At 39.4% G+C, this 25735-nt stretch overlaps 1 protein-coding gene and 1 long non-coding RNA gene across 7 annotated transcripts in view, besides 1 other annotated feature; one reads left to right on the top strand and one right to left on the bottom strand.

Annotated features, from left to right (window-relative positions):
• LOC124901889 (uncharacterized) overlaps nucleotides 1-25735 on the top strand; it is a 51754-nt gene that overhangs the window by 7016 nt on the left and 19003 nt on the right. For all 5 annotated transcript variants that reach the window (XR_007060825.1, XR_007060829.1, XR_007060826.1 and 2 more), the window contains exon 4: nucleotides 15519-15641. This is a non-coding gene — a long non-coding RNA (uncharacterized LOC124901889). The remainder of the gene's footprint in view (nucleotides 1-15518; nucleotides 15642-25735) is intronic.
• The window catches only part of TRMT9B (tRNA methyltransferase 9B (putative)), an 84105-nt gene continuing 58573 nt past the window's right edge, over nucleotides 204-25735 (bottom strand). Inside the window, exons 3-5 of one of the 2 annotated variants that reach the window (NM_020844.3) lie at nucleotides 23625-23779; nucleotides 17124-17297; nucleotides 204-8973 (exon numbers count right to left, since the gene is read on the bottom strand). In NM_020844.3, the coding sequence (NP_065895.2) occupies nucleotides 7937-8973; nucleotides 17124-17297; nucleotides 23625-23778 (1365 nt within the window). In that variant the 5' untranslated portion in view covers nucleotide 23779 and the 3' untranslated portion in view covers nucleotides 204-7936. Of the gene's footprint in view, nucleotides 8974-17123; nucleotides 17718-23624; nucleotides 23780-25735 lie in introns of those variants that run through there. The other variant, NM_001099677.1, reaches the window with a different exon arrangement.
• Nucleotides 23587-23881: a silencer, noted in NCBI's record as "tiled region #1393; HepG2 Repressive non-DNase unmatched - State 21:Repr". NCBI's record gives its function as "represses a minimal TATA promoter and a strong SV40 promoter by Sharpr-MPRA in HepG2 cells {active_cell/tissue: HepG2}" and the evidence as "EXISTENCE:reporter gene assay evidence [ECO:0000049][PMID:27701403]".

Raw genomic sequence — 25735 nt, 5'->3', positions numbered from 1 at the left:
GCAAGATTGCATCCCCTCTGAGTGGCATGAGAGCCACAGCAGGGTGGGCACAAATCCTCCCTTGCTTCACACCCCCATGCTGGTAATGAGCTGACAAGCTGCAGATGGAGCAGGTCAGGAAAGAGAACAAACTTCCCTACCTCCCAAGCAACATACAAAAATGACATCATTTCTAGATTAGGACCACATTTGCACACATCCACTTTTGGATAATCTAATACATCTTTATTAATCTCAAAATATGTCTTTTTGGTCAATAACATTCTTTTAATAACCATTAAAGATAATCTATTATTAAAAGGTTAATTTTGCTTCCCTTAGATAAATATAACAGAATTCAAATACGAACTTGCCCCGTTCTGTTGAAGTGTAGTGAGAGCTGACTATGTGAACTGAATAATGCTTGTCCTGTACAGAATGGTGAAGAAAAGCAAACTTTTGTTCACCTGGGAACACTTTTTAAAAATACACTGATACTTAACTTAAATAATTGAATACATATCATAAACACACAAATTACACCATTTAAAATATACTTACTACAAAAAGATCCTGAACATTATTGATTAATGCAAATAAAACTACTTCGCATTATTATAAAAGTCAAAATATTTTACATCACTTTGTGCTTTTAAAACTATTGCTAGCTTCCCCTGGGAAAAGTCAAAATAACTGTACATTGTAGAAAAAAGTTTTTGCACTTTTGACCCAAATACACGTATCAACACGAGAAGAGGCACTATAACATCTAATAATTGTTCTAAATTTCCCTGAAACAAACAAACAAACAAACAAAAGCTATTTATTCAATGAAATACATTTCTATGGTAATTGCTAATTTGATGTATTCACGCGTGCACAAAAGAACTACTTTTTCTTGGTCACTAATGACAGCAAACACTAGATGTCTAGGAATATATATATATGTGTGTTATATATATATTTACAGACATACATATTTAAGAGAGCATATAAAGAAAATAGGACAGTTTGCACATACATATTCAAAGCCTCTCAGATACTCACTTAGGTCCACATTAGTGAGCCTTAATGTATTGCCAGCGTTTTGTGTAAATAACCAGAGAAGTAAAACAAACTTTAGTAGTGGAGTCCCTCCTTGTACATTAATAGAAAATCTAGTTAGAAGTGGTATGATTAGCTCGTAAGAGGTCAGGAGTTCAAGACCAGCCTGGCCAACATGGTGAAAGTTTGTCTTTACTTAAAAAAAAATACAAAAATTAGCCAGGAGTGGTGGCATGTTCCTGTAATCCCAGCTATTCAGGAGGCTGAGGCACGAGAATTGCTTAAACCTGGGAGGCAGAGGTTGCAATGAGCTGAGACTGCACTACTGCCCTCCAGCCTGGGTGACAGAGTGAGACACTGTCTCAAAAAAAAAAAAAAAAAAAGAAAAGAAAAGAGAAAAGTGCTTATCACTTAGCCAAATTCTTGCTAAGGGAATGTAAATATAATTGTACCTTCTTCAGGGAATTCAACATCAAGGTACACTGGCTTAACTGCAGTGACTCACTCGTTTTTCAATGTGGAGGTAATATTCATAGAAAAATCAATATTCCATGTGGAGAAAATGTATTTTTCCTGTGGATGTATTAATGATTAATTGGGTTGGAGTAAACTTTACTTTCTGCAGCTCTAGTATTTATTTGTCAAATGAAGATCCAATTTGACAAACAGCTCTTACAAATGGTCCATCAGATTGGTAAGATAGATTATTCTATAGCTCCAATCCCTCCCAAATAAAGTCATTGATTATCTGTGTATAATCAACTGGGGAAGACCCGCACCACAAGAGGACAGAGTATGTGATGTAACTGAAATGATTCACACCCCTGTTAATGTGTCATAGACCGTAGGATCCCTGGGGAATTAAAAATAGAACAATTCAGCTAGAATCTTCTCTTTGATCAACTCTCTTCAGTTTCTGATTGTGCTCTCATGCTGAGCTCTTTCATTTGCAATACAATTTCAATCCTTGTTTGGTGAGAGATCTTTTTAAATGTTTGCACCTCAGTGTTGTAGATAACTGAGGTTGCAGATATGGAGTTTATACTATCAAAACAATCATTAAATAATCAAAATAATCATAATTTTGAGTTAAGATTGGAACAAGAGGAGTTAAGCATTACGGTTGGTGGAGGGTCTGTTAATGCTTCTTGATTCCCTCCCACTTCCGTGGTTTTCCCATCTGCTGGACGGGTGTATAATAACGCTTACCTCATATGCCTCTTGATAGAATGAAGCCTGTATCGTGCATTTTTCTTTGGAGAAAGATTACAATTATGGCATTTGAAATCCAAGTATATATCTAGGGAATGTGGGAATTACTTGTCATTATGTAATTTCTTATGAAAGCTTTGTCTAAAATAGCAGATTGCAGAACAGAAAAAATCGGGTGCAACTGCAGGAAATGAGACTGAAAAATAATTCAGAGTTACTTTATGAAGGGCCTGAATGCCATCCAAAGGAGTCTGCATTTATTCTGTAAGACATATTATTTTCTGAAATATATCCCACAGAACACGTGCGCTATAGGATGTTAATACGTCTAGGGTAAGCTAGATTAAGTCCAAGCTTTAGGGTACTCCTTAAATATGCTAATATGCATCATGATTCTCTAAGGGAGGGTTGTTTGTTGTTTTCCTCAAACTAAACAATATAACTTGGTAATAGGCACACAGGGAATACGAAGAATGTTTCAGCTTGGCACCTGTGGGTCAGTTAATTCTAATATTCTGGGTACCTTCAAGATGCCAGATAGTCATTACCTTGTATCATATGTATCCAGCACACAGCAGACTGTGTATCCAGCACACAGCAGGGCTTAGTAAACAAATGGAGTGAATGAAATATCTGAATAGTCCTCAGTTGCCTTACTTATAAAATGGGAAAACAATAATATAATTGTTGAAAGGTTGAAGAGTTGGAGAAAAGTGGTCCCAGAATATTTTGCAACCAAGAACTATTTTTTAATTCAAATCAAATCGAAACAGATTTACAAATGAAAAAAAGATAAAAGGGAAAATATGTAAGAGACTACTATTGAATTATTGTCTAGCTGTGTAATCTTTGCTTAAACTTTTCCAAAGCTCATTTGGAAAGGGGATAATCACACTTACCTTGAAAGGCTCTAATACTCCGCCAAGCACATGAGCTGGGCCCAGGGGTGGGAGTATATGGTGTTGTGGTTAAGAGCAGAGACTAGGAGCCAGACCTGGGTTTGAATCCCAGCTCTGCCTCTAACTAAATGTGTGATACCTACTATGTGTGTAACCTTAAGCAATTTAATTTCTTTCTGCCTCAGTTTTCCTCATCTGCAAAATGGGAACAATAAGTATAGTTATCTTGGAGGGCTGTGGTGAGGACTGCATATAAATTAATGAACGTTGCTTTTTTTAAAAACAAAAATCCTTTATTACTCTTTTTTAACAAACAGCCCCTGGGACAGGGGACCAGGAGAAGGGGAAGGAGGGGAAGTGAGGCCCCAGCCGCACAACCCCTCCCCCCCACCCCTTTCCCCCTTATATATTTATAATCTATATACAAGCCCCGGGGGTAGAGGGCAAGAGGAACTCCCTCAGCGGGGTCACAACAGGTCCCAGTGTGTGATGTTCCCCTTACTGTGTCCATGTGTTCTCATTGTTCAATTCCCACCTATGAGTGAGAACATGCGGTGTTTGGTTTTTTGTCCTTGCGATAGTTGAATGTTGCATATTTAGAAAAGTTCACAGCTATTCTCATTTCAGATTTTCTATGTAATAGGAAAGAGATGCTGAGGCCTGCCCTAATTTGTTTTTCTTAGACTGCAGCTGCTTGTCTGGTGGTTGGTTCCCATTTCCTCCTTCCTCCAAAACTGGGGGCTCACAGCTCATATTTAACCTGTGCCCTCCCCCACCAAGTTCAAGTACTGAGTTAGAACTTCTGTTCTCCTCCAAACTCGTATATATGTATTAATTTAATTTAAAATCCACCAGTGCTTTTTTTTTGGCCATTAATAATCAGGGGCATTCATGTTCCTAGCTGGTTTATATTTGGATGGTTTTTTCTCTGGATTACTCCAAATTTTTGCCTATTGAATTGATGGTCACTTAAAAGACAGAGGAATTACTGGCATGTAGAATTTGGAAGGAAATAGAAAGGCAAACGAGAAATAAGAATTAGCACTATTCTGCACGGAGATCTATGATGAGAAAAGAGAACGAAACCAAACTCCAAGACGTTTGTGTAGCTAGTTTGTTAGTTACTTTGATATGCTGGTGTCATATCATCACTATACTGGCAATTGGAAAAAATTTAAATAGGTGCTTGAATGATTCTCACTATAACATTATTTTGATTCCATCCTTTGTCCATGTTAATGCGCTTTCCCCCAAATCCTTTGAAGATTCTGTGGAATTCCTCAAATAGACAGTGAGGCATCAGGAAGCCAGCAAAGTTTTGTTTTGTTGGAGATGGAGTTTCACTCTTGTTGCCCAGGTTGGAGTGCAATGGCACAATCTCGGCTCACTGCAACCTCCGCCTCCCAGGTTCAAGCGATTCTCCTGCCTCAGCCTCCCAAGTAGCTGGGATTACAGGCATGCGCCACCAACCTGGCTAATTTTTTGTATTTAATAAAGACGGGGTTTCACCATGTTGGTCAGGCTGGTCTCAAACTCCTGACCTCAGCTGATCCACCCACCTCAGCTTCCTGAAGTGCTGGGAGTACAGGTGTGAGTCATCGTACCCAGCTGCCAACCAAGTTTTTAAGACTCCTCCAATAAACCCCCAAACTCTCCCTTCTATTTCAGATAGTGGGACTCTGTGCTGATGCCAGTAAGTAAAGAAGAAGGAATAAGAAAGACACTGTGTGATCTAGTATTAATAAGGAAGTAAGTGATCAGATTACTCCAGCTAGGTCAGTAGAATCTATCATCAAGCAAGTTGAGGCCGACAGCATTCACAAATCAACTGTCTACGTTTATACTCACTGATGACCTGTGTTTCCTTTCGAGGACAAGCAAGCTTTTTAAATGATCAAGACGTTTACATTAGTTTTGCTCTTCAATGGCTTTTTAAAAAAAATCCAAAGGCGGAAGTTAAATTTAAAAGAGCTTTCCATGTGACTACCCCAAAGAGAGATTATCAATCACCAAATTAAATATTTGTATACAAAATAATATCTGGATGCATAGATTCTTATGTTCATTAGATGAAGAGTAAAAGACTTATTAGTCAGCATGCTTTATTTACACCCCTGTCAAACGTACATGAAAATATTTCTCTCCAAAGAACCGTTCTAGAGAACCCTTTCATACAAAGTGGTGTGTGCACATCTAAGAGGTTGCTCAGACAGTTTAGCTCAAAGGCTAAAGAGTCTGGTAAACTGAGTTCCACCAAGTCTTGACTTTTAACTGGTAGGCTAGCAGCAGAAAGAGAGGACTTCAAGCACAGATTTCTAGCAGCAAGGCCAGGATTAAAAACCCATGTGACAATAGGCTTCAGAGAGAGGAACAATCCATTCATAATTCAAAGGCCGTCAAGCCCGAGTTGTAAGACCATTTTGACTCTGAGAATCTTTTCTTTTTACCAAGGAAATCCCTTGCAGTCATGGTTTAGTGTCCTGAATTAAGAAATAAAAGGAACAGGCCGGGCGCGGTGGCTCACGCCTGTAATCCCAGCACTGTGGGGGGCCGAGGCGGGTGGATCACGACGTCAGGAGATCGAGACCATCCTGGCTAACACGGTGAAACCCCGTCTCTCCTAAAAATACAAAAAAACAGCCGGGCGTCGTGGTGGGTGCCAGTAGTCCCAGCTACTTGGGAGGCTGAGGCAGGAGGATGGCGTGAACCCGGGAGGCGGAGCTTACAGTGAGCCGAGATCGCGCCAGTGCACTCCAGCCTGGGCGACAGAGCGAGACTCTGTCTCAAAAAAAAAAAAAAAAAAAAGAAATAGAAGAAACCAAATTAATTTTTAATTTATACTCCACTTATATATGTTTTCAATCATCCACTACTGCAGGATGTACACTGAACAGTACAACTCATATGCATCATTTTCACCAGACAACCTCATCTACCAAAATGGTGATAACACAATCTTATTTTGAAGCCAAAAGAGAGTTATAAACATCAATCGTTTTCAGATACGCTTTAAAAATATTTCTTTAAGTTTGTTCAAAAGTAACATCATTATTTTAAGTTATAGCACAATCATTAAAGGAAAAAAGAACCCAAGAACAAATGAAATTCGTTATTATTTTAGTCACTTTTAGTGGAAAAAATAAAACAAGATTTGGATTTTCATCCAGCATAAAGTAAAAAGACTCTTGTCAGATGTCAATTTTCTCATTAATGAACTACTTGAGACTGTACTCCTGGGTCAACTTATTTCTGCTTCTCCTGTCTCTAGACCTGTCTTAATTATATTTGTGTCTCAGGATCCATGACATAGATTTAAAGAGACCCATGGGCAAATCTAAACAGTGACCACACAGTGTCCAGTCTATTCGTTTCTCTACAAAGTGACAGAAATTCAACCTGTAATCAGTAGAAGTTGATTCTACCTAAATTCCTAATATAACTAATAAAATGTAGTCACCTTCAATAAAATAAATGCCCAGATACTATTTTAAAGGATACAGCAAATCCAAGTCATACCTCTACCAAGGCTAACTATGCTGTACCTTAATTTGTTTGTTCTCAGAGCTAAAATCAGTGCTTCACTTAGATTCTCCTTTCCTAAAGAGTCCGTCAACTCAGAAGAAATGCCTAGTTCTTGATGCAGACTCATCATTAGTCAATCTTGGTCTTGGATATTCATCCTTCTAATAAGCATGATTGATAACAATCTTGCTAATAAGCAATAGTAATATCAATCTTGAATATTCATGCTTCTAATAAGATTGGAAGAATACCACTTGGGTACTTGCATATAACTCCTACTACCTACATACTCCACTCCTTACAAGCTAACAACGCCTTTATTATTATTATTATTATTATTTTGAGACAGAGTCTTGCTATGTTGCCCAGGCTGCAGTGCAGTGATGCAATCATAGTTCACTGCAGCCTTGAATTCCTGGGCTCACGTGATCCTCCTGCCTCAGTCTCTTGAGTAGCTTGGATGACAGGCATGCACCACCACATCTTGCTAATTTTTATAGAGATGGGGTCTTGCTATGTTGCCCAGGCTATTCTTGAACTCCTGGGTTCAAGTGATCCTTCTGCCTTGGCCTCCCAAAGTGCTGGGATTACAGGCATGAGCCACCATGCTCAGCCTAACAGTGCCTTTAAAAACCTCCTGGGCTACATTGAAAACCTTATTATCACATGTCAACTTATTTTGAAGCAAGTTTGCTTATAATTTAGTAAAGTCCTTGTAAAACTTCTTGTTTCTCTCCACTGTCACTCAGTTTTCTGAAAACTTTAAGTAGAAGCAAGGCCTTGGCAACAAGATAACTCATCACATGGTTCAAAGTATATCTGTGCAATGGATCAAATTTACCTATTATCTTGCACACTGCTCTCAGTTATAACCTGAGAACCAGAAATTATCCCCTCACTTTATAAAAATACCGTTTTAAAAGATTATTTAACAGCATAATCTTTTTAAATCAATGTGTAATACTGAAAAACACTATACATGTATTTTATCTCTCTGGGGTTAAAAAAAAGTCTGAGGTGTACTGAAGGGTACTTTCTGTTGCTTCTTCAGATCTTGTATATTAACATTTAAGCACAAATACCCTTTGTCAAGTGCTTTCAATGCCAGAATCTGTGCTTATTCAAAAATGAAAACAAAACAACCAAATAATTAATAGTCTCTGCAGACCAAAGCGTAAATGGATTAACAAATAACACTGAATGCAAATTCAGGTAACCATATCAAACCAAGAGGAAAGAATGTGGTTCATCTTTTGGAGGAGTTGTCTAAAAGGATCCAATCAATCACAACCTCTCTTTTTCTCTGCAATGATACACCAGTTACCATGATCATTCCCAGAACTCAGGATACGGAGCTCTGACACATTCTCCTTGAGCAGACTGCAGAGCTCCCCTTCTCGAAACACATGGTAGTAGCGCATAAAGGCTGTGGAGTCCAAAACATCAGTCTGTGGATCTTCGACAGACATTGTATCATCTGGGTTGAAATCTGTGGAATCAACTGCAGAAATCCTTCTCAATATTTTACTAGCAGAAGGATTATCATCTTCTATGTTGCCTGCATCCACACAATTCACACCAGTATTAGTGCTATCCAGAAAATTTCCCCCTCCATTTCTCCTCATTTCCCCTTGATGGTCTCCATTTAAATGTTTCAGAGTGCCTGGTGCTCTCAGCCACTCCAAGTGTTTTCCAGAAGAAGATTCCACAAACACTTCCTCATCTAAACTTTGCCCTTTTGTTGAAAATGGCTCTTGGTGATCAAAGTCTAAACTAGAGTGTCTGGAAGGCTGGACTGTTACAGTGCTACTGGCCCAAACTTCTGTGTTTTTCAAGGGTCTTACTCTTTCAATTTGCTTCCTCAGAGTCGATTCATCCAAAGATCTGGAGAAAAACCAGGAACGAAACGATTTTCCTAATGTGCTGTAAAATCCATATTCTTCCTCGCCTTCCTTAGAAATATTTGCAAAACAGGTTCTTGCCATAGCAGGTTCATAGCCCACGCTGTGGGACCGTTTTGAACCACACTGCTCTTTAAAACAAACAGAACAGCTACACTCAGAGCAAGGAGGATGGTAGGGATGGCCTCTTTCTGGGTATCCACACTGCCTCTTCCTCCCAGACTGGCTGGACTCTGAGAAGAGCTGGGAACACAGAGCCCTGTTCCATGGAACAAGCACGTCTTGCTTCTCAAAGTGACGGTTCTTTTGTTCCATTGCCCAAACGTAAATCATCAGTTGGCCTCCGGGAACTAAGACCCTGGCCATTTCTTTTATTGCTCTGATTCTTCTTTGTTTTGTAGAAAAATGATGTATGACTGAAAAAGACAAAACTAGATCTCAGTGTGTATGCACACACATAAACCCACACACGTATACACTGGTGTTTACCATATAACAAGGATGAAATTTTGACATCTAATGAAACCTTCTTATTTCCTCCATGGCAACGATGATGACAGAAATAACACAGGACTGATTTTAGGAGAAACATAAATTTTAGCTTTGGCTCCTGTACTTTTAATATTAGATGGCTGATCTTGGGCAAGATATTTAAGTTCTACAGATTTTAAGTTTCTTCCTCTATAAGAAGAAGTCTAGAGTCCATAAATCCATAAAGTCTCTTCCAGTTCCAAAATACTATGGATTTTTTTTAACCAGAAGGATGGTCAATGTGAATTACTAAAATTTGAAAGAGATATTAAATGTTCCCTTTGAATTCTATGAGGTAATTCATTGTTTTAATGAACAATTTGTACTTCTAAAGTAATAGCTGAGAAGTACAGAAATATGTTAAAGATTGTTTCTCTGTCTAGATAATGCAAAGATCAGCAGCTCACCCCAAGTCCAATTGGTTGCTTATAATAAGATATAAAATAGTTGTGTCTATTTAAAAAATCAATGTATACATCATCATTTTACTTCCAATTCCTGCAAAGTCGAAATGAGCTTCAAGTAAGACTGCCTTTATCAAGTCATAAGTGTGTTATTAGGCATAATTTTATCTGCCAATAAAAGTGCTAGTCTGTTAGTTTTTGAGGGAGTATAATCACGGTATTGTGTCAAGAGAAAACTTCAAATTATTTTTCCCTACATAGATGCACCAATATATCAGTGAGGAAATTAATCTCAAGCAAAATTGGAAGATTCTTGTTTTGATATGAGCTGTGAGGGCAGAGACAGAGCCTGAGAGGGTTGCTCTAAGGGTCAAAATAATCCAACTGTTAGTGGTGATTTTAGGCAAACTAATCTTTGTAGTTTACCTTCCACAGAGGCATATTAAATATCAAAAATGGGGTTGTGTACAGATCAAACTAGTAAAGAAATATCACTCAACAGATACATTTTGTATCGTTAGCAATCAAGTTTTCATTCCTATCAACAGCACACAAACCTTGGTATCTCTACCATGCAGTAATGTAAGAAAGCCAGAGGTGTGAGGGTGAAATGGGTTTGAAGAACAACACACCAGTGTATTTCATTCTGCTAGAACTTTCGGTAACTAGTTTTGTGATCTTTAAACAATCACTCTACCCTCCTGGCCTCAGACTGCTGCCACCCACTCCCGAAAAGAAGAGTCCTTTAATATGGCTCATTTGAAAGCATACCTTTCTAGAAGTAGAGTCCTGATTACTAAGCTAAGGAGGTATAGCAGTCAGGACTGAGAAAGACTCAATCCACTGCTAATGCTCACATTTATCCACGGTTACTAAGGGCCATTAATATCTCCCGTGCTGTGTGCAGTGGCTCATGCCAGTAATCCCAGCACTTTGGGAGGCTGAGGTGGGCGGAACTCTTGAGGCCAGGAGTTTGAGACCAGCCTGGGCAACATGGCAAAACCCCATCTCTACAAAAAATATAAAAAAATTAACTGGGTGCATTGGTGTGTGCCTGTAGTTCCAGCTACTCAGGAGGCTGAAGTGGGAAGATCATTTGAGCCAGGGAGGTCGAGTTTGCAGTGGGCCATGATCATGCCACTGCAGTCCAGTCTGGCCAACAGAGTGAGACGCTGTCTCAAATATATGTATCTATATATACACACTCATATAAATGTATCTCCCATATGTATGTATCTCCCATAACTTGCACCTAATTCACTTTAGAGCGTCTTCTATGGGTGTATTTTCTAAATACAATCCATCTTCATTATTCATGGATTCTGTATTTGCGAATTTGCCCACTTGATAACAAATCGCCCCCAAATCAATACTCCCCAAATTGTAATCCCCCAAATCAATACTCCAGACTTTCATGGTCATTCACTGACGAATGCAGAGGGGCAACTTGAGCCTCTCAGTGCAAATATTCCCAGCTGAGATGAAACAAAGTAATGTTCTTTCTTCTTATTTCAACTCTAATACTGTAATCAAGGGTTCTTTTTGTGATCTATTTTGTGCCACATTTTCTGCATGTTTGTGCTTCTTGTTGGTGATTTTGCTATTTGAAATCGCCTCCAAACATAGTGTTGAGGTATTATTTAGTGTTTCTAAGCCTTGGAAGACTGTGATGCACCTTATGGAGAAAATACGAGTTAGATAACTTCGTTCAGGCATGAGTTGCAGTGCTGTTGGTATGAGTTTAAAATGAAATAAACTGTCTTTAAACAGAAACACACATAAAACAAGACAATATGTTGTTCAGCTGACAAAAATGTTGTGATCAGAGGCTCACAGAAACCGCTGTATGCCTCTTGGGATTCTATATTCCACTGAATTTATTAATTCAGTGTTCACAGAGACTTTATAGAACATGACTACTGTAGATAATGATAATTGACTATTTTTTGGGGGGTGGTATAAGACAAAAAAACCTTTAAAACGGGACTATTTTAATAAAATGGTCTCTTTTCAGTAGACTCATACATCAACATTCAGAATTTGATTGGACTTCAAAGTAGGTTTTTTTCTTTGTTGTCGTTTTTTTTTTTTTGAGACAGGGTCTTGCTCTGTCACCCAGGATGTAGTGGCTCCATCTCAGCTTGCTGCAGCCTCTGCCTTCTGAGTTCAGGTGATTCTCCTCTCTCAGCCTCCTGAGTAGCTGGGACCACAGGTATATATCACCACACCCAGCTAATTTTTGTATTTTTTGTAGAGATGGAGTTTTGCCATGTTGCCCAGGCTGGTATCGAACTCCTGGGCTCAAGCCATCCTCCTGCCTCAGCCTCCCAAAGTGCTGGGATTGCAGGCATGAACCACCACGCCTGGCCAAGTTTTTTTTTTTTTTTTTTAAGAAAGTCCTTATTTATTCATTTATTAATGCTTAAGTGACCATTCCTTTCTTATCAGATGTAACAGCATAATTTCACCCAGGAATATCAGTCGTTCATATTATGTTTTATATTTATACTTAAAGTGTAATAAGTAACAGCCTTTAAGCCAAATGTTCTTAAGAAAAAAATAGCTGGCCACGGATGGTGCCTCACACCTGTAATTCCAGCACTTTGAGGGGCTGAGGTGGGCGGATCACTTGAGCTCAGGGGTTCAAGACCAGCCTGGGCAACATAGTGAAACCCCATCTCTACCAAAAAAATAAAAAATAAAAAAAATTAGCTGGGCGTGGTGGTGTGTGTCTATGGTCCAAGTTACTCAGGAAACTGATGTGAGAGAATCTCTAGAGCCCAGGAGGCAGAGGTTGAAGTGAGTCAAGATCATGCCACTGTACTCCAACCTGGGTGACAGAGTAAGACACTGTCTCAAAAAAAAAAAAAAAAAGCCTACAAATGATTACTTCATTACATATTAAATGTATTAGACATGCATACGCATACATGTTCTATTAAGAAACATTGTAAATGTATCTAAAATGGGAAGTGAGAATATATTTATCCGAAATATCAATGTCTGGAAACTATGTTGAATTTTTTAAAGTCCCTTTTGTTTAAAAAATCATAATCACAACTTAAAGGCAAAAGTAGTACTCAATATATGCATCCTAAAGCAGTATTTTCCTGCTGAGAGCCCAGACAGTAGGTAGGTTGAATTCAATTACTGGATTCCAGATTCAGATGAGAAGTTACACATGATCTCCTTGAATGTCTTGTTACATCTTGATATTTCATCATTTGTTGACATTTAACTTTTCAAGTGTACATGCCTCGCCTCTCTAAACTTCAGCATTCAGAATCTGCAGGTTTAGCATAAAGCAGATTTTTTTTAAACATCAGTACTATTGACATTTTGGGCTAGATAATTCGGGGTTTTTTTGAGACGCAGTCTTGCTCTGTCGCCCAGGCTGGAGTGCAGTGGTGTGACCTGGTTCACTGCAACCTCTGCCTCCTGGGTTCAAGCAATTCTTCTACCTCAGCCTCCTGAGTAGCTGAGATTACAGGCATGCACTACTATGCCCGGCCAAGTTTCTATTTTTAGTACAGATGGGGTTTCACCATATTGGCCAGGCTGGTCTCAAACTCCTGACCTTGTGATCCGCCTGCCTCAGTCTCCCAAAGTGTATAATTCTTTATTGTGGGGGCCCACATACTAGATGATATTACACGTACATACATAAACATATCCAGTTGTGACAATTAAAAATGTCTCCAGACATTGCTCATGTCCTCTGGGGAAAGGGGGAAGGAGCAACGTAACCCCCAGTTGAGAAGCACTAGCCTGAAGGGCATTGTTGATTGCTCCTATGTTAATGCGCCACCACTTTTCCCTAGGATGTTTATCAGACTATTCCAAAAGTAAGTACAACAATATTTCTTTTTCTAATATGCCAATAAAATGAAGGCATAACCAGGTATGATGCTAAGCTCACATTATTATTAAAAGATGTGGAAAAGCAAATATATATATACTTATATATTTCTTCCTGTTAAGCAGGAAGTGCCAACATAAGAACTTTAAATAGAGAAGTAAATATATAGGGACATAAGAGAGACAGTCTATTGAAATTTCTCATAGTATACTTCCTTTTATATATATTATTTATATTTATATATTTATATATATTTCTCATAATATAGGTCCTTATATATGTCATATAAGAGAAATTTCAATAGACTATCTCTCTTATGCCTCATCTAGTTATATAAACACACAAATATATTTATATATATAAATATATATTTCACATTTATATTTTATATATAATATATATTTCACATTTATATTTTATATATATAAATATATATTTCACATTTATATTTATATATGTTTATATATATGATTTTCAGGTACAGGGTCCCTTATATTTATGTTATATGTATATATATATATATCATATATATATACCCATATGATTTTTAGGGACAAGTTCTCTTTAGGTTGCCCAGGCTGGACTCAAACTCCTGAACTCAAAGGATCCTCTCACCCCAGCCTCCCAAAGTAGCTGGGAATTCAGGTGCCCGTCACCATGCCTGGCTACCATAATATAGTCCTAAATGTGAACTCGAACTGAAAATAACCACATCACATTAATTCGTAGTTACAGATCATAAAAACGCGTGCTGTTTTCCACTCAAGGAAGCATTTTTAATTCGAAGATGGTAACTAGGTGTGCTCCATTTTCTCTGAGGGCAAGGCATGAGATGTAAACTGAAAATAGAGGACTTAGCCAGATAAGCATGGAGTGTTTCCCAAGCATAGGAAAGGTGGTCTATATCCCCTTCCTTCACCAGTGTCTCAGTGGAATGGTCTGGATATAGGTGGCCTTGCAGACTACAAGGAATTTAGCCTGGGCGTGGTAGTTCATGCCTGTAATCACAACACTTTGGGAGGCCAAGGCAGGTGGACTGGTTGAGCCCTGGACTTCAGGACCAGCCTGGACAATATGGCAACCCCATCTCTACAAAAAAAATTAGAAAAAATTAGCCAGGCATGGTGATGTGTGCTTGTAGTCCCAGCTACTTGGGAGGCTGAGGCAGGAGGATAACCTGAGACCAGGAGGTAGAGGCTGCCATTGCACTCCAACCAGGGTGATAAGAGTGAGACCAATAAAAAAATTGGTCTCACTTTACGCTAAACCTGCGGATTCTAAATGCTGAAGGTTAGGGAGGCGAGACATGTACACTTGAAAAGTTAAATGACAACAAATGATAAAATATCAAGATGTAACAAGACATCTAAAAAAACATTGCTTCGAAAAATAAAAAATAAAAATAAAAAATTCTTGAATCATTAAAAAAATCCAATAACAATTTGAAGGTTTAGTTAAAAAAATAAAAAATAAAATGAGTGTAGACAAAAGAAGACCAAGCAGTCCACAGATTTCTTTGACTTTTTATTTTATTTATTTATTTATTTATTTATTTATTTATTTATTTATTTCAGATGGAGTCTCACTCTGTTGCTTAGGCTGGAGTGCAGTGGCATGATCTTGGCTCACTGCAACCTCTTCCTTCTGGGTTCAAGCAATTCCCTGCCTCAGCTTCCCAAGTAGTGGGATTACAAGTGCTCACCACCATGCCCGGCTAATTTTTGCATTTTTAGTAGAGACGGGGTTTCACCTTCTTGGCCAGGCTGGTCTTGAACTCCTGACCTTGTGATCCACCCACCTTGGCCTCCCAAAGTGCTAGGATTACAGGCCTGAGTCACCGCGCCCGGCCCATTTCTTTGACCTTTCTCCAATTTCTAGTTAAGTGGAATGACCAAGCCAAAACCTTTTTCCACTAAAGATTCAAAGCATTGTATAGTGTTGCTTAATTCAAAAAGGTTTTCTCCGGGTTATAGACTGAATGTTTGTGGCCTCTGAGACCAACATGTCGAAGCCCTAACCCCCAGTATGAAGGTATTAGGAGGCAGAACTTTAGGAGGTTTAGATGAAGTTGTGAGAGTGGGGCCCCCATTATGGGCTTAATGGCCTATTTATAAGAAGAGACCAGAGAGCTTGCTCTATCTCTCTCATTCTCCCCTTCTTCTTCCAGTCTCCTGCCGCATTTCACGTGATGATGCAGCAAGAATTAAGCCATCTGCAACCTGGTAGGAGGGTCCCTACCAGAACCTTACCCTGCTGGCACCCTGATCTCAGATGTCCAGCCTCCAGAACGGTGAGAAATAAATGTCTGTTGTTTAAGCGAAGTCTATGGTATTTTGCTATAGCAGGCTGCAAAGGCTAAGACAATCCTCTTAATGCTTACAACCAAAATGGATCTAACAGTTTCAACTGCAAATGAGACTATCAGAGAGCAAGTTTCCATAGCAACCATCTCTTGCCAGTCCTTACTAGTTCCAAGGTTATGGCTTCCAGGTCTGCCTCCCCTCAGCATACGAAGAAATAGTCCCCACCTAATGTTGGATAAATCAATCTTTCATCTATTTTAGGAAAAGAGCAAATCATCTTATTCTGCAATTTTGTTATGAATAACTCCATTTTATAAAAGATCATCTTTCTTGGATAAAACTTATTAATCAAATAGTTTTTATTTTTTTTATTTTTTTGAGATGAGTCTCACTCTTGTCATCCAGGCTGGAGTGCAGTGGTGTGATCTCAGCTCACTGCACCCTCCGCCTTCCAGGTTCAAGCGATTCTCCTGCCTCAGCCTCCTGAGTAGCTGGGACTACAGGCGCTTGTACCATGCCCGGCTAATTTTTGTATTTTTAGTAGAGATGGGGTTTCACATGTTGGCCAGGCTGGTCTCGATCTCCTGACCTCCTGATACACCCACTTCGGCCTCCCAAAGGGTTGGGATTACAGGCATGAGCCGCTGCACCCGGCCAAATAGGTTGATTTTTAAGAGTGTATTGGGACAAGTAATTTGCCTTGCAAAATATTTTTCCATTGCAAAACAAACAAACAAAAAAAACCTTGTCATAGGATTCCATTAAATATCAAGTTTCCCTGCATATTTAAATATGGCAGATGTCATGTATTCCTTACCTGCATGTATTTCAGGCATGGATTTTTTCCCCCCATTTTTTGGCATGTGTGTTTTCTGGTCACACTTGTTGGGAGGATATGAGAAACACATTCCCTAGACTCATGAACGATCTCTGGCAGCAAATGAGCAGAGTGGCATTATAAAAACAATGCAATCCAAGACCAGATGGGACCTACCTTCTCCATGAACTTGAGTACCAGTGAGTGGCAGATTGGTCCAGGTGACATTTGGTTTGTTAGCCCTAGAATTCTCTGTTAACAAAGGCCACTATTTTGGCCTAAAAAATGGTAATATAACTTCTAAAAATCTACTTTGCTTTGGATTAATCTGGCTTCATTTAAATATAATGAAGTGCTATTTTCAATGAGTAAGATTCCTCTAATCCTTTCTTACTCAAAAGAAATTGGAATGAATCATAAAAAAACTGCAATACCAAGTTGAAGGTTTAAATAGTTAAAACAATCATATGTGCCATAAATACATTTTGGAGTTAAGTCAAATCAGTCAAGTAGTTGAAACAATTTTTTTAAATTAGATAAAATAAATTACATTGACATTTCTACACAGAACGGATGTTGAGTCATGAGAACGGACTAAACCGGGTCAATTATTCTCATGGCAAAGGGTGAATGTGTGATCTGGCTGCCTTACCTCCTATGGAGATGATGGCATCGAAGCCCTCATCCCTAAAGGGGAGATTAAGGTTGTCACATACCATGGCTTCACATCCTCTATTCCGGGCAATCTCTACCAGTGGCCCACAGTAGTCACAGCCCACGGTATGTACCTGGCTGTTCACTTTAAGATATTTTCCAGTCCCACAACCTATAAGAGAAAAACCTGCGTTACATGCTATCCTCAATGGAAAATGTGAAATACTTCATTTGTCTCATAACAAGAAATATAATTAACCTTTTATTTATTTATTTATTTTGAGACAGAGTCTCCCTCAGTCACCCAGGCTGGAGTGCAGTGGCGCAATCTCGGTTCACTGCAACCTCTGCCTCACGGGTTCAAGCAATTCTCTTGCCTTAGCCTCCCGAGTAGGTGGGATCATAGGCGCGTGCCACCATGACCGGATAATTTTGTATTTTTAGTAGAGACGGGTTTCTCCATGTTGGTCAGGTTGGTCTCGAACTCCCAACCTCAGGTGATCCGCCTGCCTCGGCCTCCCAAAGTGCTGGGATTACAGGTGCAAGCCACTGTGCCTGGCCAACTTTTTTTTTTTTTTTAACTAACCAAGACAGAATACAACATGGTGTGAAGGTATTCACAAAAGCAAAAGAAAAGCCTTCGGCGAATACTTACAGATTCTCATATAGAAGAGAGAAAGGCAATAGGAAAAAAATAACATTTATTGAATATTTAATGAGGTGATGTCCACAGGGCTCAGTACACTGGCGCAACCAAGGCACGTTAGCTGGTCCAAGGCAAGAAAGATAGTTCTAGTATCCGAGAGACCACGTGTAGCCTCTAAGCTCACATTCATATTTCATTTTGTATATACGCATGTTTCGGCTTTTATTCTCCTGTTGTCTCTCCAAAGATTCTTACCACTTGCTGACTGCAAAACAAACAACTGTCAACAACTTTTCTATTATTTATACACTAAAACATGCCTTTCAAATTTTTAAAATTTGAACTTGAATTAGAAAAGAATTTTTAACATTGTTTTTATCCAATCTCTATTCATTGCTACATTTAAAATGATCTCTATGGGTCCAGTATACAACTCAGATTATAAAAACTACTTTTTTTCTTAAATAGACAATTTTTGATATTCACTTTCCAGTAGCAGAGACCTAAGTAATTCAGGATTTACAAAGCCCAAATATTTAGATCATTGAGGTCTTACTGATGTTATGATTGAGGTAGGTAGTAACATGAATGAATAAACCACCTTGAAACAAAGCCTTCTACAGTCTAATACTTAGTATTATATTCTATCACAGATATATAATCTAATTACTTTCCAGAAATATTAAAAGAAATCATTAGAGCCTATATTTGTACTTATTGGCATTACTGATGAAATTTTTCTACCTGAAAAGATATCTACCACTATTCAAAGATGATTAGTTTGCTGCTTCTGAAATACATCAGGACACTAATAACCCCTCCTTACTAGGCACTTTCAAAATTATGATACAGTAAAAGCAAACTTAAGATTCATTAATGCCAGCTGAGACAGTGGAGAATATATGAATAAAAAATAAAATTTGGGGTCTGGCGCGGTGGCTCATGCCTATAATCCTAGCACTTTGGGAGGCTGTGGTGGGCGGATCACTTGAGGGCAGGAGTTCGAGACCAGTCTGGCCAACATGATGAAACCCCTCTCTACTAAAAATACAAAAATTAGCTGGGTGTGGTGGCAGGTACCTGTAATCCCAGTTACTCAGGAGGCTGAGGCAGAAAAAAATCACTTAAATTCAGGAGGTGGAGGTTGCAGTGAGCTGGGGTAGCATCACCTCACTCCAGCCTAGGTGATGACAGAGTTAGATTTTGTCTCAAAAAAGAAAAAGAAAACAATTCCAGGATTATTATTTCTACGTAAATGTGACCATATTATTTCTATGATATTATTTCTTTGATCTCGTAGCCACACTGTTCCCAATAATGATTATGAGAAAAAGTACCCTCTGTTTGAAGGCAATCATGGGGAAAATATAATTCACAAAGTATTTTAAAATTAAAATCCTGTGTATTTCAAAAGACGATGGTCCTATTTTAAGAAAAATAACCTTGCAATTCATTTGCTTTTTCATTGGCTCGAGGGATACTTTAGGAGAAATGAAAGGGAAAGTTACTTCAATGATATTAATAAAATCAGACTCATACATCTTTAGAATGAGGAGGGCCTGTTCAGAGAGCATTTTGTAATAAGAAGGAAACAGAGGTCTTTTCTCCTGACATGCTTCCAGTGCCCTAGAACTCTTGATTTGCCCCTATTCATTTCTAATGGCCTTCATGTTTAAATCTTGAATGTGAACAATAAAAGAATTTTAAATATTTTTTAATCCAAACTATTGTCTATTCATCAAACAGCTGATGACTTTAGCTAAGTGGAAAAACCTAGCAACAGAAACCATTTCCTTTAGAGGACAGTCATATTACCATCTGTCTTTTCTTCTCCTCATCCCTTTGAACTTCTTTCTTTTTCATTTCTTTCTTCTTTAACTTCAATTTCATTAAAATGCATCTTTCATTTTGCAATGAAAATATGACCCTATTTATTGAATAGTTTAAAAAATGTATATAGTACAAAATTCAAAAGATACAAATTGGCAAAAAGATATTTACTATAGATGTAGTTGTTGATTTGCACAGAGGTATTTAAAGAATATTATTTGTGAGACTTTTTTTTTTTTTTTCAGATAGGGTCTCACTATGCCACCCAGGCTAGAATGCAGTGGCACCATCTCGGCTCACTGCAACCTCTGCCTCCCAGACTCAATCTGTCCTCCTACCTCAGCCTCCCAAGTAGCTGAGACTACAGGCACGTGTATCATGCTTAGCTAATTATTTTTACTGTTGTTGTATTTTTTGTAGAGATGGGGTTTCACCATGTTTTCCAGGCTGGTCTCGAACTCCTGAGCTAAAAGATCTGCCCGCCACACCTCCCAAAGTGCTAGGATTACACGTGTGAGATACCGCGCCTGGCCTATCTGTAGTGTAATTTGTAGCGGCAAAATACAGCAAACAACATGTATTAAATGTTAATATGGCACTATTAGCATAGAATGCTAGGCAGGTTTTAATACTGGGTAGCTCTATAATAAATATAAATATGGAATGATTTCCTCAATATATTAAAAGTATAACAAAACCTAGGTGTATAATTATAATTGTTTTTATAGTATACTACCATTAGTGTAACCAAAAAAGGGAAATTACCCATCACACTCTCACAGGCACAAATACGCTTATTTTTACATAAAACATCTCAAAAAGATCATACAAGAAGCTAACAGCGTCAGAGGCCTCTGGTGTGGGTTGCTTGGCGCCAGGGACTGGGATGGGAGAAGATTTTACACTAAGCATTCTTTTGTACTTTGTTGCCGAACCGTATCAGTGGGTTACCTATTAAAATACTTTTACACATTTTGAACCATTTGTTCACATCCTTTCCCTATTTTTCTTGTGACTTGTTGATAGTTTTCCCTTTTTTTTTCCTTTGAATTTAATTCCTTCTGTTTGATACTCTGAGCCTTTTAACCAACGTCTTACCATTTCCTACACCTACCCCACCCGCTTCGACACCCCAGCCCCAGGTAACCACCATTTTAATCTCTCCTTCTATGAGTCCAACTGTTTTAGATCCCATGTATAAGTGAGATCACTGGGTATTTGTCTTTCTGTGCCTGGCTGATTTCACCTAGCATAATATCTTCCAGGTTCCTCCGTGTTGTCGCAAATGACAGGATGCTGGTCCTTTTTTTACAGTGATGTTGAAGAATGCTTAGTAGATTAAAAAAATTACCGGCCGGGCGCGGTGGCTCACGCCTGTAATCCCAGCACTTTGGGAGGCGAAGGTCGGTGGATCACAAAGTCAGGAGATCGACACCATCCTGGCTAACACGGTGAAACTCCGTCTCTACTAAAAATACAAAAAATTAGCTGGGCGTGGTGGCGGGCAACTGTAGTCCCAGCTACTAGGGAGGCTGAGGCAGGAGAATGGCGTGAACCCGGGAGGCGGAGCTTGCAGTGAGCCGAGATGGCGCCCCTGCACTCCAGCCTGGGCAACAGAGCAAGACTCCGTCTCAAAAAAGAAAAAAAAATTATCTAGATTTCTATGACATGTGTTGCAGATATTTTTACTTAGTTTGATTTTGGTCTTTTGACTTGAATTGTATGTCTGTCTAGATTTTTGTCTTGTGGAACTTTTCCATTTTTATAGGGTCAAAGTTATCTGTCAATATAGTTAATCCTCATAAATTACAGCTTCCATATTTGCAGTTAATGTACCTGCTGAAATTTATTTGTAACCCCAACGTCAATACTACAGCCTTGCATTGTCATTATTAGACTTAAATACTCACAGTGCAGCAAAATATTTGAGTCATCTGAGACCCACATACCCAGCCTCCTTTTTTCAGCTCCCATACCGTAATCAAGTGTCCTTTCCATAATCTATTTAGGGCCACAATTTCTCCATTTGTACAGTTTTTACTGGTGATTTTGCTCTTTCAAATGGCCTAAGCCTGGGGCTGAAATGCCGTCTAGTGTTCCTGAACATAAGAAGGCTGGGATGTCTCTGATGGACAAAATATATGTGTTAGATAAGCTTTGTTCACGAAAGAGTTATAGTGTGCTGGCCGTGAGCCCAATGTTTATGAAATAATGATATATAGTAAAGAAGGTGTCTTTAAACAGAAACACATATGCAACAAGCTTATACATTGGTAAATTGACAAAAATGTTGTGACCTGAAGCTTACAGGAGCCTAATCCAACATTTCCCCTAAAAACAATGATTCAGTATTTGCCAATTCAATGTTTATGATACATATATGAAATGTAAGTACTGTGAATAATGGCAATCAACTGTATATTCTTTTACGATTTCTTTTTGTATGTGTATCATATATAGGCATTTTGCCTCTGAGAATATTTTAAATAACAATCTAGTCATTTAGTCCTTTAATGAGCTCATTTTCTTATACTTAAATCTTTGCTTCATTTGGAATTTATTTTGATGTAAGGTGTGAGAAAGTAACTCTCTGATTATATATGTCGTTATCCCAAAGCCATTTACTGAATAGTTCCTTTCCCCCACTGATTTTAAGATCCTGGTACGTGGCTTACTTAGATTATACGTGGTAAGAGCTCCAAACTCACTGCACACTCCGAAACTAGATTTATTATTTTTTAATTTACAGGATAGAGATATTTTTCAAAGACTCCCAATTTCCATGTGACATGCACCCCTTCCCCAGATTCCACATTACTCATACCATCTTCAGCAAGCCACAAGTTCTGGTATGTCTGTTTCTCTTACCAGTATTTAGAAAGAATATCAAACTAGACACACTTTGCAACTACAGACTTACGACTCATAGGTGCAGTCAGCATGCAATTGCTAGAACGCAGTTTTAGGTGGGTAGGCCTTGAGTGAGATTCCAACCACATTTTAAGTCTTAGTCCTAGATCTACTAAGCTGTGGTTTACCAGTTCTTGATTTACGAAGATACTGAACCAACGTCCTCCAGACAAATAAGTTATTATTAAAATACTGTCTAATTAAAGATGCGCTCCTATAATGAAACACCTATAGAATAATTAAAGGAAAGGACCCATGAGATTCATAAGATATTACTGGACCTCTTCCATAATCCCACAATTCTATAGAAGGCATGTGAGCCACTCAAAGTGAGCCACCAGAGGAGAACACATTTGGCAAATGTGAATATCTTTAAATTTACAACGGTTAGTTTCACAAGCCATCATTTCCATCCTGATTTAGTCAATCAATGTCAGGTCCGTTTTGGTGGAGGATGTACACAAAGGCCCTGAAGAGCCACTGTCTAAAGGTAAAGTTTGAGGCCAGGCACGGTGGCTCAAGCCTGTAATCCCAGCACTTTGGGAAGCCGAGACAGATGGATCATCTGAGGTCAGGAGTTTGAGACCAGTCTGGCCAACATGGCAAAACCCCGTTTCTACTAAAAATACAAAAATTAGCTGGGCGTGGTGGCGGGTGCCTGTAATCATAGCTATTTGGGAGTCTGAGGCAGGAGAATCAGTTGAACCTGGGAGGCGGAGTTTGCAGCAAGCTGAGATTGCACCACTGCACTCCAATCTGGTTGACAAGAGTGAAACTCCATCTCAAAAGAATAAAAATAAAATAAAAGTTTGAGAAAGTTTTTTACTTGCTGCTGACTTGACTGTCTCGAGTTTCTGCTGTAAAATGAATATTCTAGGTACTGGCATGCCAAGGGTGCAATTTCAGGATTCCTATTAGAACAAAAATGAAAAATCAATGTGAAAAGCAAAGGCTCAATGGAAGGTATTTCATGCTACACGGCCCAGTGCTGGGTTACCTATGACAGCAATGAGGCTGCCTGGTTACCTATGTCAGCGATGAGGCTGCCTGGTTACCTATGTCAGCGATGAGGCTGCCTGGTTACCTATGTCAGCGATGAGGCTGCCTGGTTACCTATGTCAGCGATGAGGCTGCCTGGCTTCTGCTCTTGCAGGAACTGGCGGACACGAGGCCAGGCTTTGCTCTGCAGGTCGCTGAAGTAAGGGGCTGTGCTCTCGTACACATTGTGCACATGCTGCTTCTCCAGCTGGGCGGCTTCATGATCCATCCTGGAGAAAACAGGACCAACCCAAGGCATGCAGGTCAGCCTATGCACCATAGATGGCTGAAGGAGGATGCAGATTTCCTAAAATCTGGAGCCTACAACTGCAAACTCATGCTGTTTGCACACTTTCTTATAAGCTGCAAAGAACAATACCTTCACTATAACCTCGCCATAGTAGCCAAAAGACTAGCAAATGCATGGTTTTTACCTGCCATGTTAAGGAAAACAATTTTGAGAAAGAGCTAATTATTGTGTAATAAGTTCCTGTACAAGATGAATTCTTAATTTTGGAAGCATAGCCAAAATTCTTACCAAATGGTTTACTTTGGATAAGACCATTGTATCTGATGCTAAATAGATTTCAAAATTTCATAACAGGTAGCTCACCATTTCAACCCAATAGCAAAGCGCTATTAATTCTCCCTTTTTAGTGTTTGGGTTCCAGCCATGTCTCTGTATCAGTACTGCTTTTATTTTAGTATAGGTGCCCATTTCTTTACTGAATTACTTCAACAGCTGGCAAAACGGTTCTCTTGCCATTCAATGCTTTTCCCAATTTCAATTACGTCATAATTATTTTTGTAAAATATAGGACTGGTTGTGTTGCTTCTTATTTATTTATTTTTAATTTTTGTGGGTACATAGTAGGTGTATATATTTACGGAGTACATGAGATGTTTTGATACAGGCATGCAAGGCGTAATAATCACATGAGGGAGAATGGGGTGTTCATCACCTCGAGCACTTATCCTTTATGTTACAAACAATCCAATATACTCTTTTAGTCATTTAAAAATGTACAAATAAATTTTTTTTTACTATAGTCACCCTGTTGTCCTAGCAAATACTAGGTCTTATTCTGTTTTTTGTACCCATTAACAATCTCCACTTCCCTCCCACCTCCCCGCTACGCTTTGCAGCCTCTCGTAACCATCCTTCTACTCTCTATAACCATGAGTTCAATTATTTTAATTTTTAGCTGCCACAAATAAGTGAGAACATATGAAGCCTGTCTTTCTGTGCCTGACTGATTTCAGCTAACATAATGACCTCCAGATCCATCCATGTTATTGCGAATGACAGGATTTCTTTTCTTTTCTTTTTCTTTTTTTTTTTTTTTGAGATGCAGTCTCGCTGTATCGCCCAGGCTGGAGTGCAGTGGCATGATCTCGGCTCAGTGTAACCTCTGTAGCAAGTTCCCCCAGGCCGTGGGCAGGTCTAGAGGTGCTGTCTGGGAGCCAGGGACTGCAGTCAAAAACCTTAGAAGTCTACTTGGTGTTCTAGTGTACTGTGGCTGAGCTGGCACTCAAGCCATGAGATGCAGCCCTTCCCACTCTTCCCTCCCCTTTCCAAAGACCCCTTCCCCACTGTGGCCGAGCTGGTACCTAATGTGCAAGGCAAAGTCCCCTTTCCTTGTCCCTCCACTTTTCTTAAGCAGGAGTGTTGCCCCATAGCCACCACAGATGGGAATGTGCTAAGTCGCATCTGGAGCCAGCAAGACTCAGAGTCTCACCCAAGGCCCACAGCGTATTACTTGGGTATCACCGCTGGTTATTCAGGGCCAAAGGGCTCTTTAGTCAGAAGGTGATGGGTCCTGACAGGACTAGGTCCTTCCCTTCAAGACAGCAGGTTGCCTTCTGGCCCAGGGTGTGTCTAGAAATATCATCTGGGGGGTAGGGCCTGAACAGACGGCCTCAGGACTCTGCCTGGGCCCTATCCTACCGCAGCTGAACTGGTATCCAAAATACAAGACAAAATCCTCTTTATTCTTCCCTCTCCTCTCCTCAAGCAGAAGGAAGGGCTCTTTTGGAGCCAGGAGCTGTGCAGCCTGGGTTGGGAGCGGGGTGGTGCAAGCACTCCCTTAGCAGCCCTAGCTGGTGTCTCAGTAGTGGCGTTCCCTCCTCCCCACCTGGTCCACGGGCTCTGAGGCCAGTTCAGCAGGAGGACTCACCTAGGAGCT

The sequence above is a fragment of the Homo sapiens genome, chromosome 8 (genome assembly GCF_000001405.40).
Source record: "Homo sapiens chromosome 8, GRCh38.p14 Primary Assembly".
Taxonomy (NCBI): domain Eukaryota; kingdom Metazoa; phylum Chordata; class Mammalia; order Primates; family Hominidae; genus Homo; species Homo sapiens.
The sequence above is the reverse complement of the archived record's forward strand: the minus strand, read 5'-3'. Positions and strand labels throughout refer to the sequence as shown.